Source organism: Homo sapiens, chromosome 2 (assembly GCF_000001405.40).
Source record: "Homo sapiens chromosome 2, GRCh38.p14 Primary Assembly".
NCBI lineage: Eukaryota > Metazoa > Chordata > Mammalia > Primates > Hominidae > Homo > Homo sapiens.
Window position 1 is genome coordinate 61,905,078 of NC_000002.12, and position 13,311 is coordinate 61,918,388.

General features: G+C 43.7%; 1 protein-coding gene across 5 annotated transcripts in view, besides 2 other annotated features; it reads left to right on the top strand.

Moving 5' to 3' along the window:
* COMMD1 (copper metabolism domain containing 1) overlaps window positions 1-13,311 on the top strand; it is a 247,668-nt gene that overhangs the window by 16,687 nt on the left and 217,670 nt on the right. For 2 of the 5 annotated variants that reach the window (NM_152516.4, XM_011532558.3), the window contains exon 1: window positions 597-781. The exons of the other annotated variants lie outside the window; for them this stretch is intronic. In NM_152516.4, the coding sequence (NP_689729.1) occupies window positions 602-781 (180 nt within the window). In that variant the 5' untranslated portion in view covers window positions 597-601. Of the gene's footprint in view, window positions 1-596; window positions 782-13,311 lie in introns of those variants that run through there. 5 annotated transcript variants of the gene reach the window in all.
* Window positions 659-848: an enhancer, noted in NCBI's record as "active region_15843". NCBI's record gives its function as "activates an Ori minimal core promoter by ATAC-STARR-seq in GM12878 lymphoblastoid cells {active_cell/tissue: GM12878}" and the evidence as "EXISTENCE:reporter gene assay evidence [ECO:0000049][PMID:35858748]".
* Window positions 12,076-12,576: an enhancer, noted in NCBI's record as "H3K4me1 hESC enhancer chr2:62144288-62144788 (GRCh37/hg19 assembly coordinates)". NCBI's record gives its function as "activates a minimal SCP1, AML or CMV promoter by ChIP-STARR-seq in naive H9 embryonic stem cells {active_cell/tissue: H9 hESC(naive)}" and the evidence as "EXISTENCE:reporter gene assay evidence [ECO:0000049][PMID:30033119]".

Here is a 13,311-nt window from a genome sequence, read left to right on the forward strand (position 1 = left end):
AGCTATGCATTTCATTTCAGGATAGTAAATAAGGTGTTAAAATATTTGTCATATAAAAGAACATTGGATCAGAGCCACTGATCTAGCTGGAAAGACAAGTGTATATAAAAAGGCAATTAACAACCCAAAGAAAAACATTATGTAATCAGGAGATAGTTAAACTTCCTGAAAAAAAGGATGACAGGTAAGGATTAGGCAGAGATTAAATCTGAGTGATCGATCCTATTCAGTTAATGGGTTGGCAAGTCCTGGAATGAGATACAGCCATCTAAAAATTAAACTGCCAAACTTATAGGCTGCTACCCCATCTCCAGTAATCTCTGCGAGCAATCTTTCTTTCCAGTAGGCTCTGCAGTGATGAAGGGGATCAGGGGAAGCAAAGTGACCCTACTGGAACCAAACGGATATTTCCGTGGAGGTATCCTAAGGGGATGGGTGTTGCAGAGCAAAGCTGTAAGCTGCCAACTCTGACCCCTGGGGAAGCCTTGCCTCCAGGTTCCCCGAGGTTCCCCGTGGTGGTTTTGCACAGGCTATTTAGGCACATCTCGGCCGCCGTGGCGGGGCACGGCTCAGCTGTTGCGGGGCGGGGCCTTCGCAGAGCATGGCGGCGGGCGAGCTTGAGGGTGGCAAACCCCTGAGCGGGCTGCTGAATGCGCTGGCCCAGGACACTTTCCACGGGTACCCCGGCATCACAGAGGAGCTGCTACGGAGCCAGCTATATCCAGAGGTGCCACCCGAGGAGTTCCGCCCCTTTCTGGCAAAGATGAGGGGGATTCTTAAGGTACTGCTCTTTTCTGTAGTCTCCGGCTTGGAGCAGAACCCCTTGGCCGCTGGCTTCAGACTCTCCCCCCCTTGCCTTCCCCTGTCCTCACAAGCCGAAAGGCTTTTCCCTCTCAGACCTCCACTCCGTGGGCTCCACATCGGGCTCCTTCAGATTTGCTCGTTCTGTCGCCCCTTCTCTCTTTCCTAAGGGGGACTTTTTCTGCTGAAGTTCCCAGTCCCCCGGTAGACTGACACCCACAGGGGTTTTTCCTTCAAGACATTTCTGTCTCTTGGTAACAGTCGCGTTTCCTCAGCAGATCTGTGGGATCTGGTGTTTTTAAAATTAAGAGTTTTAGGTCGCTAGCTTTCCCCGGTTGTGGAAGTTGGGAGCGTTAAAATGAGCCAGTGTCTGCTGGATAAGGGGTGGCTTAGCCCGAGTGACATCTGTCAAGCAGTCCACTGCGTGGTTAAAAGAGCATAATTACCAGCTTGAAGTCAAAGTATAGACTAGATCGTCCAATAGAAATATGTGAGCCAAAAAGGTGAAATTAATATTTTAGTAATATATCTTATTTAATCCAGAATAGCCAAAGTATTATCACTTCACATGTAATCAATATACAGAATATTGACAAGATTTTTTGTTACTTTTTTCACTAAATCTTCGAAATCCAGTATTTTACACTTAAAGCACATATCTCGGACTTGCCAAATTTAAGTGCTCAGTAGTCACATATGGCTAATAACCATCATATTGGACAACTCTATTTAGACCGAGAACTAGTTATAGGAATGTAGTGTCAATGTACTCTAGAGACAAACTGTAAAAAAATTACTGACTTTTATAGGTCTCCTATGTGTTAGGAACGTACTGAGATGTTTTACATGTTGTTTCATTTGTTTCTTGAAAAAAAAACCTTATATAGTGGACACCCATGGTAAAGATTTAAGAAACAGGTCCAGGGAATCTAAACAGCCTAAAATTCATTTTGATTAAAGTCAGTGTTGAAATTTAATCCACTATCCTTTTGAATTTGCTATTTTTTCAAAGCTGTTTATTCTTTAAAAGGCACTTCTGTATTTTTTTAAACTGATTTTGCCTACAGGATTTGAATCCAGAAAAAAAGCAAATGAAAACAAATATTTCACACAGTAAATGGATTGTCTCATGGAAATGTAAGGAGTAATATCTCAGGTGTGATCCTAGACATTCTAAGTAATCTTAGTTGATATCAGTCATAAATCACTAGTGAATGCTTTCTATTTCTTTTGTTTTTTCTTTTTTTGAGACGAGTTTTGCTTTGTTGCCAGGCTGGAGTGCAGTGGCCCGATCTCGGCTCACTGCAATCTCCACCTCCTGGGGTTCGAGCCATTCTCCTGCCTCAGCCTCCCGAGTAGCTGGGGTTACAGGCATGCGCCACCACACCCAGCTAATTTTTGTATTTTTAGTAGAGACTGGGTTTCACTATGTTGGCCAGGATGGTTTTGATCTCCTGACTTCGTTATCCGCCTGCCTCGGCCTCCCGGAGTGCCAGGATTACAGGCGTGAGCCACCCGGCCCGGCCAAATGCTTCCTATTTCTATCAAATTTTACTCTTTGAGCAGTCCAAGAGAGTTTCCTAGAAAATTTGACATCTGGGTTTTTGAGGTGTTTGGTCTCCTATGGGGATGAGGCCTATATCTCTTCTGCAGGCTAAGAAGAGACAACAGCACATGTGTAGGTAATGCTTTAGAATCTCCAAACATTGGGGGCTACTTCTCCTCTCTAGGTGGACGACATTTTGATTCATTTGTTTTGTTAGGAGATAAAACAGCAGGATACCCAGGGAAGAGTTTGCCTGAAAACTCTCTTATTTTATTTTTATTTTGAGATGGAATTTTGCTTTTGTTGCCCAGGCTGGAGTGCAATGGTGTGATCTCCGCTCTCTACAACCTCCGCCTCCCGGGTTCAGGTGATTCTCCTGTCTCAGCCTCCTGTGTAGCTGAGATTACAGGTGTCCACCACCACGCCTGACTAATTTTTTTATTTTTAGTAGCGACAGGGTTTCACCATGTTGGCCAGGCTAGTCTTGAACTCCTGATAGCTGATCTGCCCACCTTGGCCTCCCAAAGTGCTGGGATTACAGGTGTGAGCCACTGCATCCGGCTTTACTTTATTTTAAATACATTGCTGAATAATAATATCCAGGATACTTGAAGTTTTCAAGTGGCTCTGTGTTGTGGAGTGGCATGGCTCTCTTGGTGTTGGGAGTAGGCAACAGAAGATTTGCAGGTGCCTGGCAGCACACTGATTAGTCTGAGGAACGAAGGGATATGCCTTTGATTGTTTTACATAGGGCTGAAACCGTGGGCTCAGGATGACATTCAGTTCCAATCTTTATTGAACTCTTTTTTTTTTTTTTTTTTGAGACGGAGTCTCGTTCTGTTGCCAGACTGGAGTGCAGTGGCGCCATCTCGGCTCACTACAACCTCCACCTCCCGGGTTTAAGTGATTCTCCTGCCTCAGCCTCCCGAGTAGCTGGGACTGCAGGCATGCACTGCAGCGCCCAGCTAATTTTTGTAATTTTTGGAGAGATGGGGTTTCACCATGTTGGCCGGGATGGTTTTGATCTCTTGACCTCATGATCTGCCTGCCTCAGCCTCCCAAAGTGCTGGGATTACAGGCGTGAGCCACTGCACCCAGCCTTTATTTAACTTAAAAGCAACACTGAGGGTTAAATTTCTCTAATTATTATTTTTTGAGACGAGTCTCGCTTTGTTGCCCAGGCCAGAGTGCAGTGGCGTGATCTCAGCTCACTGCAACCTCTGCCTCCCGGATTCAAACAATTCTCTGCCTCAGCCTCCCGAGTGGCTGGGATTACAGGCACCAGCCACCACGCCCGGCTAATTTTTTTGTTTTTTTGTTTTTCAGTAGAGACGGGGTTTCACCATCTTGGCCAGGCTGGTCTTGAACTCCTGACCTCGTGAGCCACCTGCCTCCACCTCCCAAAGTGCTGGGATTACAGGCGTGAGCCACTGAGCCCTGCCAAATTTCTCTAATTCTTATGGAAACATAAAAAACAAACATGATTTTAATTTATTTTTGTTTTAATATTATTTTTTGAGACGGAGTATCGCTCTTGTTGCCCAGGCTGGAGTGTAAGTAATGGTGCAATCTCGGCTCTCCGCAACCTCTGCCTCCCAGGTTCAAGCAATTGTCCTGCCTCAGCCTCCTGAGTAGCTGGGATTACAAGCATGCACCACCACACCAGGCTAATTTTGTATTTTTAGTAGCGATGGGGTTTCTCCACGTTGGTCAGGCTGGTCCCGAGCTCCCGACCTCAGATGATCTGCCCGCCTCGGCCTCCCAAAGTGCTGATTACAGGCATGAGCCACCGCGCCTGGCACAAACATGATTTTTACACTGAAAGGTTTTGCAGATAGAACCTCTATCTGCAGTAAGAGGGAACATACACAAATAAGCATGATGCAAGGATGTGATTGTATTTGTAAATAGAATTGTGAGTAAGCACCTGAAGATAGATTAAGAGATATCAGTTCTTTCTGGCAGGCTTCTTAGATATGCCATTTTTGCTGCCCTTGAAGAAAGTATAGCATATTTTAGACTGAGATGAAGGGTAGCCGTATACAGGATTCTGAGTTAAGAACATAGCATGGGTGGGGTAGGAAAAAAGCAGGTTCAGGAAATGGTGAATAGTCCAGTTTGATCACAATATGGGGGTAACCAATGTGGAGTATTGGTGGAGGAGGCAAGAAAAAAATGAAACAACCTTTTATTCTTATAATCTTGCTAACTTCTATTGCTGCTCTTAAGCAGGATGTACATTTTTCATATAAATGACAACAGAGTTCATACTTTCAGTTATCTATGTAATATCATGGTCTGTGAAGAAAGTGAAAATGAAGGGTGACAAGAGGGTAGAAGCAAAGGAAGGAAGGAGGGGACATGTACTTCCCAGCAGGGGATACAGCGGACACACGTGTTAACAGCCTCCTTATTGCCAACTGCCTGGAAATATATTTCACAGGCCATGTTTTCAGGTTCAGGTGCTCCCTGAGCTGTAGCCCTTCCCTCTGACTTTCATGTTGTGTGCCAAGGTGTTATGTAGTGATTCCTGGCTTTTGTACTGGTTCTGTTTTCTGTTTAGAATGGAGCCCTCCTATCCTACTTGACTGGGACATTGACCCTCTCTAGCTTTGCCTGTTAATCACAAAAGGACAAACCTTTCACCTGCTTGTAGATATGCGAAGCTGGCCATTCACTTGCTCTAGTTTTTATTTTTGGGTAGACCCTAAGGAACAATGAAGTCAATGAATTGGGAATGGTGTGTTTATTTAAGGAGATAACATCCTATAGATAAATACTCTTGTATTTATATATAAAATATATAAAAGGCAGTTGCTAAACACTGCCCCCCCCTTTTTTTTTAAGACGGAGTCTCACTCTCTTGCCCAGGCTGGAGTGCGGTGGCTCGATCTTGGCTCACTGCAACCTCTACCTCCTGGGTTCAAGCAATTCTGCCTCAACCTCCTGAGTAGCTGGGATTACAGACACCCGCCACCACACCCAGCTAATTTTTGTATTTTAGTAGAGATGGGGTTTCACCACGTTGGCCAAGCTGGTCCCGAACTCCTAACTTCAAGCAGTCCACCCTCCTTGGCGTCCCATAGTGTTGGGATTACAGGTGTGAGCCACTGCGTCCGGCCCAACACTGCTATTTTAATCTACTTTTTTTGCTCACATTATAATTCAACTTCTTATAGGTATGAGTTTGCGTGATCTTTATTGCTATTGCTGTTAACCTTGTGGATATGCTCAATTCCAGTAAATCCCAGTTTACTGAAAGAGCATAATCTAACTATGAAGATCAATCACCTTTTGTATACCTTAGTCTGTATTCACTACTGCCCTCTGGTGATGATTTTGTATTTCCTCATTGGAATTTTAAACAAAAAATTTTAGGCCGGGCGCCACGGCTCACGCCTGTCATCCCAGCACTTTGGGAGGCCGGGTCAGGTGGATCACCTGAAGTCCCTGGTTCAAGATCAGCCTGACCAACGTGGAGAAACCCCGTCTCTACTAAAAATACAAAATTAGCCAGACATGGTGGTTCATGCCTGCAATCCCAGCTACTCGAGAGGCTGGGGTGGGAGAATCACTTGAACCCGGGAGGCGGAGGTCGTGGTGAGCCGAGATCGCGCCATTGCACTCCAGCCTGGGCAACAAGAGCGAAACCCCATCTAAAAAAAAAAAAAATTTTTTTTTTTAATGAAAATTCTCCTTTTGTGTTGTCTATTACTAATTCATATACTCTAGTACTCATTTATATCAATCAAATGTTAATTTATCCAGGCTGGGCTCAGTGGCTCACGCCTGTAATCCCAGCACTTTGGGGAGGCCAGGGTGGGCGGATCACCTGAGGTCAGGAGTTTGAGACCAGCCTGGCCAACATGGTGAAACCCCGTCTCTATTAAAAATACAAAAAATTAGCTGGTTGTAGCAGCAGGTGCTTATAATCCCAGCTACTTGTGAGGCTGAGGCAGGAGAATGGCTTGAACCTGGGAGGTGGAGGTTGCAGTGAGCCGGGATGGCACCATTGCACTCCAGCCTGGGCAATGAGCAAAACTCTGTTATTTATTTATTTATTTAGAGACAGGGACTCACTCTGTCACGCAGGCTGGAGCGCAGTGGTGCAGTCATAATTCACTGTAGCCCTGAACTGACCACGAGTGATCCTCCTGCCTCAGTCTCCCAAAGTGCTGAGATTACAGGCATGAGCCATCCTGCCTAGATCCTATTTTAGAAGTCTAGAAATACTTGCAACAGCATATAGTGGCCTTCCTGTTCCACTCCTGCCCTCTACAGTCTGTCCTCTGCATAGGTACCAGTGATCCTTTAAAAAAGTGCGTTATACCTCTTTACTCTCCTGCTCTCAACTATTTCATGTTCCTGGCTTCACATCAAACTTAGAATAAAATTCAGTCCTTCTGCCCTAGGCCACAGGTCCTTACATGATCTTACCCTTACTCACTTCTCTGATCTCATTTTCTCATTTCCAGCACTCTAATCTTGTCCTTATTTAATCATGTGAAGTGTTTTTCCTGTAGATATTCATGTGGCTTGTTCATTTGTTTAATTCATTCTCTACCTGAACGTCATTTCCTATGAGCTCTTCCCTGACTTATATTATAAAGACCCTCATTCTTCCTTCCTCTTACTTTTTACCTGGCTTTACTTTTTCTTCATACTTAGTATTACCTGAAATTATATTATGTATTTATCAGCTTATTTATTTGTTAACTATTCTACTAGAATGTAAGCATTAGGAGGGCAGGACTTTATTATTATTATTGTTTCTTCTTTATTCCTTATACCTAATATTGTGTCTGGCATGTAGTAGGCACTTAGTAAAAGTTTGTAGAATAAGTGAATGAATTGAGAGTGTTTAAATGTGGAGATTGCTATTAAAAAGATTGGCATAGAGAGAAAACATATACCACTTACCATATGAGGAAAGCTAGGAAATGTAGTACTCTAAACCAGGGGTCAGCAAACTATGTCCTTTGGGACTAATCTGGCCTGTTGCCTGTCTTTAGAAATAAAGTTTTATTTTAGGCCAGGTGCGGTGGCTCATGCCTGTAATCCCAGCACTTTGGGAGGCCAAGGCGGGCAGATCACGAGATCAAGAGATGGAGACCATCCTAGCCAACATGGTGAAATTCCATCTCTACTAAAAATACAAAAATTAGCTGGGTGTGGTGGCATGTGCTTGTAGTCCCAGCTACTCAGGAGGCTGAGGCAGGAGAATTGCTTGAACCTGGGAGGTGGAGGTTGCAGTGAGCCGAGATCGTGCCACTGCACTCCAGCCTGGCGACAGAGCAAGACTCCATCTCAAAAAAAAAAAAAAAACAGTTTTATTGTAACATGACTACATGCTCATTTACTTATATCTTGTCTGTAGTAGCTTTAGCCACTCTAATAACAGAATTGAATGGCTGTGATAGAGGTCATGTGACCTTCAAAGCCAAAAATATTTACCATCTGAACGTTTACAGAAAAAGTTTGCTGACCTGCGTGGTGGCACAGGCCTGCAGTAGCAGCTACTCAGGAGGCTGGAGTGAGAAGATTGCTTGAGCCCAAGAACTCAAGGCTGTAGGGCAGCATGGTTTTGCTTGTGCATAGCCACTGCACTCCAGTCTAGGCAACAGAGGGAGACTCCATCTCTAAAAATTTAAAAGAAAAAAGTGGCCAGGTGCAGTGGCTCATGCCTGTAATCCCAGCACTTTGGTAGGCCAAGGTGGGTGGATTGTGAGGCCAGGAGTTCGAGGCCACCCTGGCCAACATAATAAAACCCCATCTCTACTAAAAATACAAAAATTAGCTGGGCATGGTGGTGTGCACCTGTAGTCCCAGCTACTCGGGAAGCTGAGGCAGGAGAATCCCTTGAACCTGGGAGGCGGAGGTTGTGGTGAGCCAAGATCGCACCACTGCACTCCAGCCTGGGCAACAGAGTGAGACTCCATCTCAAAAAAAAAAAAAAAAAAAAGAGAAAAGTGGCCGGGCATGGTGGCTCATGCCTGTAATCCCAGCACTTTGGGAGGCCGAGGCAGATGGATCATGAGGTCAGGAGATCGAGACCATCCTGGCTAAAATGGTGAAAATACAAAAAATTAGCTCTACTAAAAGTTGGCTCTACTAAATTAGCTCTACTAAAAAATTAGCTCTACTAAAAATTGGCTCTACTAAAAATTAGCTCTACTAAAAATTGGCTCTACTAAAAATTGGCTCTACTAAAAATACAAAAAATTAGCTGGGCATGGTGGCGGGCTTCTATAGTCCCAGCTACTCAGGAGGCTGGGGCAGGAGAATGGCATGAACCCGGGAGGCAGAGCGTACAGTGAGCCAAGATTGCACCACTGCACTCCAGCCTGGGCAACAGAGCGAGACTCCATCTCCAAAAAAAAAAAAAAAAAAAAAGAAAAGTGTGTTAACCTCTGTTCCAAACATCTGTTCTCAAACTCATAATGTTTATTATAATATTTGGAACCCCCCTGGGTGCGGTGGCTCACGCCTGTAATCCCAGCACTTTGGGAGGCTGAAGTGGGCGGATCATGAGGTCAGGAGATCAAGACCATCCTGGCCAACATGGGGAAACCCCGTCTGTACTAAAAATACAAAAAAATTAGCCACGTGTGGTGGTGGGAGCCTGTAGTCCCAGCTACTTGGGAGGCTGAGGCAGGAGACTGGCGTGAACCCAGGAGGCGGAGCTTGCAGTGAGCGGAGATTGCGCCACTGCACTCCAGCCTGGTCAACAGAGGGAGACTCCATCTCAAATAAATAAATAAATAAAATTGGAAACAATATAATATATAAATTATGTTTTGAAGTTGGTTACTTGATAAATATCTACAAATTGGAAATGGGGACTATTTGCTCTTTGAGGAATTTCACTAGCTTGTTCTTTAGACTCCTGAGATCTGTAGTAAATTAAAAATGACCTCTAGCCTGGCCAGCATAGTGAAACCTTGTCTCTACTAAAAATACAAAAATTAGCCATGAAACCTTGTCTCTACTAAAAATACAAAAATTAGGCATGGTGGCGTGTACCTGTAGTCCCAGCTATTTGGGAGGCTGAGGCAGGAGAATTGCTTGAACCCCAGAGGTGGAGGTTGCAGTGAGCCAAAATTGCACTACTGCACTCCAGCCTGGGCGACAGACGGGACTCTGTCTCAAAACAAAAAATAGTAATAAGATGTTAAGAATGATAATAGGAAAAGATTATAAGAAATAATTGTGGTTGGGCGAGGTGGCTCATGCCTGTATTTCAGCACTTTGATTTGTTTTCTGGGGTTTTTTGTTTTGTTTTTTGAAACAGAGTCTCACTCTGTTGCCCAGGCTGGAGTGCGGTGGTGCAAACTTGGCTCACTGCAACCTCCGCATCCTGGGTTCAAGCGATTCTCGTGTCTCAGCCACCCGAGTGGCTGGGATTACAGGTGTGTGCCACCACGCCTGGCTAAATTTTGTGCTTTTGTTGAGACAGGGTTTCACCATGTTGGTCAGGCTGGTCTCAAATTCCTGGCCTCAAGTGATCCACCCACCTGGGCCTCATGTTTGGGATTACAGGCATGAGCCACTGTACCTGGCCAAATTCCTTTCTTTTCTTTCCTTTTTTTTTTTTTTTGAGATGGACTTTTGCTCTTGTTGCCTATGCTGGAGTGCAATGGCATGATCTCGGCTCACTGCAACCTCTGCCCCACCAGGTTCAAGCAATTCTCTTACTTCATCCACCCAAGTAGCTGGGATTACAGGTGTGCACCACCATGTCTGGCTAATTTTTGTATTTTTAGTAGAGATGGGGTTTCGTCATGTTGGTCAGGTTGGTCTCCAACTCCTGAGCTCAAGTGAACCGCCTGCCTTGGCCCCACTAAGTGCTAGGATTACATGCGTGAGCCACTGCACCCAGCCCGGATTATTTTATCTCTTTTTTTCTATTCTCTTTCTTGCACTCTGATTTTTCAAATGTTAGACCTCCTAGACTGATTATTCTAATTTTCTCTTATTTTCTACCCCATTTTTCATGTGTTTTTTTCCCACTTTTTGATTGACTTCCTTAACTTTATCTTCTAGCCTTCAAACACATTTAAAAATTGATTAAAAATTTCTTAAGAGACATAGTCTCACTCTGTCACCCAGGCTGGAGTGCAGTGGCATGATCATGTCTCACTTGCAGCCTTGACCTCTTGGGCTCCAATGATCCTCCCACCTCAGCCTTTTGAGTAGCTGAAACTGTAAATGCTCACCACCATGCCTGCCTAATTTTTTTATTTTTATCTTTTTTTAGAGACAGAATCTCCCCATATCGTCCAGGGTGGTCTCAAATTCCTGGGCTTAAGCAACCCTCTCTCTTTAGCCTCCCAATTGCTGGGATTACAGGTATGAGCCACCACGCTTGGCCTTTTATAGCCTTTATTTAACTTATTTATTTTATTTAGTTTTTTTGATTATTAAAAATAAAATAGAGATGGGGTCTTATGTTGTCCAGGCTGGTTTTCAACTCCTGGGCTCAAGTGATCCTCCTGCCTCAGCCTCCTAAAGTGCTGGGATTACAGGCATGAGCCACTGCGCCCAGCCTATTTATTTATTTATTTGAGACAAGGTCTCACTATGTTGCCCAGGCTGGAGTGCAGTGGTGTGCACATGGTTTACTGCAGTCTTGACCTGTCGGGCTCAAGTGATTCTCCCACCTGAACCTCGATCTACAGGTGTGTGGCACCACTCCTGGCTAAATTTTTTGTATTTCTTTGTAGAGATGGGTTTCACCATGTTGCCCAGGCCGGTCTCAAACTCCTGGACTCAAGTGATCTTCCTGCCTTGGCATCCCAAAGTGCTGGGATTACAAGCCTGAACCACCACACCTGGTCTCTTCTGGCCTTTTAATTGAATTTTTCATTTAATCATGTTTTAAATTTCCAAGAGTTATCTTCTCTTAAGAACAATATACTACTATGTTTAGCCAACAGCCTTTTCTTTCTTTCAGACACAAGGTGGAGTATACTGTACATAACTTTCTGCATTTTGCTTTTTAAATTTTATTTATTAAAGATGAGGTCAAGCTCTGTTGACCAGGCTGGAGTGCAATGGCGTGATCATAGCTCACTGCAGCCTTGACTTCTGGGGCTCAAGCGATCTTCCTACTTCAGCCCCCTGAGTGGCTGGGACTACAGGTGTGTGCCAACATGCCCGGCTAATTTAAAAAAAAAATTTTTTTTAGCGACAGGGTCTCCCTATGTTGTCCAGGCTGGTTTTGAACTCCTGGGCTCAAGTGATCTATCCACCTCGGCCTCCCAAAGTGCTGGGATTACAGGCATAAGCCACCATGTCTGACCTGTATTTAGCTTTTTAAAAATTTAATCGTCTCAACTGTGATTTTAAAATGCAGTATTTGGAATGTAGTATTAGGAATTTAGTCCATTTGTACCCAGCACTCGAAGTTCTTTTTAGAGGATTTTGACAAACATTTTATTGCTAAGACATTTTGGGGTATGATGTAAATTGTGAAGAAGTTAAATGCCTTCATTTAACCTCTTTATATTTTAAATATTCCAGTAGTTTGGTGTTTTGCATATTGTAGTATTATTTTAAAAGCATAATTTGATCCTGCTTGCTAAATACCTGGGAAATTTTTATGGAAAGCAATTGCAGTAAAAACAGAAGCTTAGAAGTGCATTTGGGGCCGGACACAAAGGCTCATGCCTGTAATCCCAGCACTTTTGGAGGCCGAGGTGGGTGGATCACTTGAGGTCAGGAGTTTGAGACCAGCCTGGCCAACATGATGAAACCCCGTCTCTGCTAAGACTACAAAAAAAATTAGCCGGGTATGGTAGCGTGCACCTGTAATCCCAGTTACTGGGGAGGCTGAGGCAGGAGAATCGCTTGAACCCGGGAGGCGGAGGTTGCAGTGAGCCGAGATTGTGCCACTGTACTCCAGCCTGGGAGACAGAGCCAGACTCCAGTTTAAAAAAAAAAAAAAAGTGCATTTGGTATCAAGTTTACAAAATGGCTGAAGTTTACTATGCGTTAGTGATGAGTTTTTTAAAATCAAAGAATGGCATTATTAATGAATGGTATTAATATTATCATGTATTACCTTTTTGATATTTTAGAGTGAATTTAAGAAGAAACTTCGCTCATACTTTTTTTTTTTTGAGACGGAGTCTCGCTGTGTCTCCCAGGTTGGACTGCAGTGCCGTGATCTCGGCTCACTGCAAGCTCTGCCTCCCTGGTTCACGCTATTCTTCCGCCTCAGCCTCCGGAGTAGCTGGGACTACAGGCTCCCACCATCACGCCCGGCTAATTTTGTTTTTGCATTTTTAGTAGAGACGGGGTTTCACCGTGTTAGCCAGGATGGTCTTGATTTCCACTCCTCGTGATCCGCCCGCCTTGGCTTCCCAAAGTGCTGGGATTACAGGCGTGAGCCACTGCGCCCGGCCTCGCTTACACATTTTGGATAACATATGTTAATAAGAAGTTAACTTGAGTATAAAATAATGGATGTAGAATATATAGTCTTAAAGTGTTTATATTAGGAAACAGAAGAGACTGGTAACTTTTGACTTCTTAGGTCATACTTTTAGGTTTCATTTGTATTCTGTCTACATCCTTAACTATAAGCAGTAATTCTGTTTTTCTACTGTAGGTGGCAGTGGAATATTGGCTTGCCAATGCACTGATAAAGTATGCTAGAAGCAACATCATGTTGAAATGTTCTTTCTCTGGAATGTTTCTAGTTCAGAAAATGCTCAAAAGTTGGCTACTCAACAATAAAAATTTATTATCCAAAAAGATGTCTAAATATTTGACTTGATATTTTTAATTTAGAAATACCATTTTCTGGAAAATTTAAAGTTCTATAAATATATTCCTTTTAGTTCTCTAGTTTTTAAGCGACTAAGTTTTGCTAATTTCACTGAACATTTTTGAGACTTTAGATGGTAATACATGAGACATATTATTCATTCTCTGAAGAATAGACAAATGACTGATGTTAC